The sequence below is a fragment of the Homo sapiens genome, chromosome 6, assembly GCF_000001405.40.
Source record: "Homo sapiens chromosome 6, GRCh38.p14 Primary Assembly".
Taxonomy (NCBI): Eukaryota; Metazoa; Chordata; class Mammalia; order Primates; family Hominidae; genus Homo; species Homo sapiens.
In genome coordinates, this window is record NC_000006.12 from 67,206,699 (window position 1) to 67,211,116 (window position 4,418).

The 4,418-nt window shown below is 33.5% G+C and overlaps 1 non-coding gene across 1 annotated transcript; it reads right to left on the reverse strand.

Moving 5' to 3' along the window:
- Positions 1 to 3,709: 3,709 nt before the first annotated feature.
- Positions 3,710 to 3,782, reverse strand: LOC124900229 (small nucleolar RNA SNORD65). The gene has a single exon (XR_007059956.1). It is a non-coding gene; the product is annotated as a small nucleolar RNA SNORD65 (small nucleolar RNA).
- Between the last annotated feature and the right edge of the window lie 636 nt (positions 3,783 to 4,418).

Consider the following 4,418-nt stretch of genomic DNA (forward strand, 5'->3'; position numbering starts at 1 on the left):
AACCCACAGTCAACATCATACTGAATGAGGAAAATTTGAAAGCAATAGTGCTAAGCACTGAAACAGAAAATGATGACCAGTGTTACCAGTCTTATTTAATGTAGTAGTGTAAGTTCTATCTAGAGCAATCAGGCAAGATAAATAAATAAAAAGCATCCAAATTGGAAAGGAGGAAATCAAGTTATCTCTATTCACTGATGATATAATCATATACATAGAAAATACAAAGACTTCCTCCAAAAGACTCATAGATTTGATAAGTGACTTCAGTAGAGTTTCAGGATACAAAATCGATGTATGAAAATCAATAGCAATATTGATACACCAATAACATTCAAGCTGAGGGCAAAATTAAGAATTCAATTCAATTTATAATAGCTACAACAAATAAAATACCTAAAACACCTTTAACCAAGGAGTTAAAATAGTTCTACAAGGAGTTCTACAAAACACTGCTGACAGAAATCATAGAGACACAAAGAAATGTAGAAATATTCCTCACTAATGGATTGGAAGAATCAATATCCTTAAGTTGGATATAATGCCCAAAGCTACCTTCAGATTCAACAAAATTCCTATCAAAATATTAACATCATTTTTCACAGAATTATAAAACATCTTAAAATTCATATGGAACCAAAAAAGAACCTGAAGAGACAAAGCAATCTTTAGCCAAAAAAAAAAAAAAAAACAAAGCTGAAGGCATCACATTCACTAGACTATACTGCATCCAAGCCTTTAATAACCTAAACAGCATGATAATGGTATAAAAATAGACATATAGATCAATGGAACACAATAGAGACCCAAGAAATAAAGCTACATGTGTATAACCAACAGATATTGGACAATGTTGACAAAAATACATGGTGGGGAGAGGAGATGCTATTCAATAAATGGTGCTGAAAAAACTGGATAGCCATATGCAGGAGAATAAACCTGGACACCTATATTTCAACATATACAAAAATTAACTCAAGATGAATAACAGACTTGTATGTAAGACCTAAAACTATAAAAGTCTAAAAGAAAACTTAGAGAAAACCCTTTTGGACATTGGCCTAGGCCAAAAATTTACAACTAAATCCTCAAAAGAAAACACATCAACTCCAAAAATCTACAAATGGGACTTAATTAAACTATAAGGTTTCCATACAGCAAAAGAAGCTATCGACAGATTAAATAGACAACCTACAGAATGGAAAAAAAAAAAGAAGTATTTGTGAACTATGTACCTGGCAAAGGACTAACATCCAGATTCTTCAAGAAACTCAACTCAACAAGGAAAAAACAACCCCATTAAAAAGTGGGTAAATAAAATGAACAGGTTTATTAAAAATAACAACAAGATATACAAATTACCAACACCTTATAAAAATGCTCAACATTAATAATTATCAGAGAAATGTAAAGTAAAACCATGAAGAGATACCACCTTATGCCAGTCAGAATAGCTATTTTTAAAAGTCAAAAAACAACCATTGCTGGCAAGGATGCAGAGAAAGGGGAGTGCTTATACTTTGTTGGTGGGAATGAAAATGTGTATAATTCTATGGAATACAGTACGCAGATTTCTCAAGGAATTAAAAGTAGAGCTACCATTTGATCAAACAATCTAGTTACTGGGTATCTACCTGATGATTGAAAAACTACCTATTGGGTATTATGCTAATTACCTGGGTGACAAAATTATCTGTACACCAAACCCCAGGTGACACACAATTTATCCATGCAACAAACCAGCATGTGTACTCCTGAACCTAAAATAAAGGATGAGAAATAATTTCTACTAGCCACAATAAAAAATAATGATAAAAAGAAAACAAGAGAAATCATTATATCAAAAAGGCACCTGCATTTATATGTTTATCTCAGCCCTATTCATAATAGCAAAGTCACGGAATTAACTAAGTGTCTATCAACAGATGATTGGATAAAGAAAATGTGGTATATATAGCATGGAATACCACTCAGGCGTTAAAAAAAGGTAACAACAACAGTAAAATAATGTCTTTTGCAATGGCATAGATGGAACTGGAGGTCATTACCTTAAGTGAAACAACTCAGAAAGTCAAATAGTACACGCTCTCACTTATAGGTAGATGGTAAACAATAAGTACACATGAACATACAGAGTGGAATAATAATCAATGGATTTTCCAAAAAGAGGGAGGGTGGGATGGGGGTAAAGTTTGAAAAATTATCTATTGGATATGATGTTCACTAATTGGGTGATGGGTACATTAAATGCCCAGACCTCACCACTGTGCCAAATATCCATTGGATTTTATTTTTAGAGATTTAGAAGGTACGGGGCCTGGCGCAGTGGCTCACACCTGCAATCCTAGCACTTTGGAAGGCCGAGGCAGGCGGATCACCTGAGGTCAGGAGTTCGAGACTAGCCCAGCCAACATGGCAAAACTTCGTCTCTACTAAAACTACAAAAAAATTAACTGGGCATGGTGACGTGTGTCTGTAATCCCAGCCACTCAGGAGTCTGAGGCAAGAGAATTGCTTGAACCCAGGAGGCGGGGGTTGCAGTGAGCCAAAATTGCGCCACTGCACTCCAGCCTGGGAAACAGAGCGGGACTTCATCTCAAAAAAACAAACAAAAAAAAAAAGAGAGAGAGAGAGATTTAGGGGGTACAAGTGCAGTTTTGTTACTTGTACTCCCTAAATCTCTAAAAATAAATAATAACAATAATGTAAAAAGAAGTGTCCTATCTCACGCTTCCTCAGTCTCATTTTTCTCATGTGTAAGAATGGAGATCATCATGTTTTATTTCAGGAGTTTGTGTGAGAAAAAATATTATAAGAAAAATGATGCTTCTTACAGTCTTCTGACCTCTGAATATTTTGAATTATTATCCCTGATGTGGTCTAAAAAATCCTCATGTCTTAAGTTCCAAATTTTGTTTTAATATATATGAGGTTTCAGTATCCCAGATTATTTTTAATAATAAATAAATAAATGTATGTTACTACAGTTTGATTCTTCTTTAAATTCACACCTAAATTATTATTTTTTCTTTGAAAACGTGATGGAACACTATTTCTCCTTGAAAATATGGTAAAAATATAACGGACCTTTACAATGCATGTGCCCGTGTTTGTCTTCTACTTCAAACAGCAAGTTGAATAAGAAAAACATGGTTTTTAACACTCTGTAGCAAATTTTACATTATGTTAAATGAGATATCTAATTATTGATATATTATGTAATAACACAATGTATTTGTTATAGACATTGCTTGAAACGTTAGATAAGTGGCCTATGCTTTTTTAAAATTCCAATAAATATAAGTCGATGCTCCCCTTAAGGGCATGTTGAGAGATTAGTTTATAATTATTTGTAAATTTGGGTTGATAAAACAAATAGGCACTTTATACAGGTATGATAATATGACAGAACACTGAAAGTCTGATTCCAATGTATTTTTGCTTCACAGGGAATGTATAATCACAAGTTGTATTCATATTCATTAACTAAGATGAGTTTGCAGACTTCACTAGTTCTAGTTGCGTGATTTTGCATGGCTAAGTAATATGTAACTAAAATAATACAATGTAAAAAACCCAAGTTGTGTTATGTGTGTGTTTATACACATAAACACATAGGCATAAATATATGAATTATTTTATAATTGCATGGGAATTCTGCTATATATATATACACATATACATACATATTTAATTTTATTATTTTAATATTCAGAAAACTGTAGGTTTGCCATTACATAATCTGCTGGTTATTACAGCTATTTTAGGTGAGTTCATCGTTTGATCTCCAATACATTTTTGATAAATGCCTGTGTACACAAGGAGTAATTGAATATAATCTGTGTTAAATTTTGATTATGAACTAGAATGTTTGAAATTCCTGGATATCATGACCTTGACAGGCTATGGTTGTTGTACTAAGCAAGTAAGCCCCAGGAGGTGTTCCAGTGACTCATTTGAATCTCAGACATACTTATCACTGCTCCATTGTGTAATAGCAATTCTGGCCCTTTATGATAACTAGGGATAATTACTTCTGCCATCATTGTAACTCCTTTATATTCCTGTTGAGTATAGCATGAGGAGCCAAAAATGATTAGTTATCAGTCCTGGATTTAGATCTAGGTTCTTTGAGACCCTGCTCTTGTCCCCTGGAGACGTGACCATTCTACTTGTAGTTACCTGGACTTTCAGAATTACATAGACTGCGTTTCAAAGAAAGCACATATTTCCAAGTCTGTAAGTAGGCTTTTGGTGAGAATGACCAATTCTGTTTTCACTGGTTCCTGATCCTAGTCACTCTTATCTCTCAGCATCAAATAAGATTATTAGTGTAACATAGGTACCACATTTTGAAAAACAGTGCTCTAATTTTCCTAGATATTGTTCCCAAATTAGAATTTTAAATGAAACTTTAA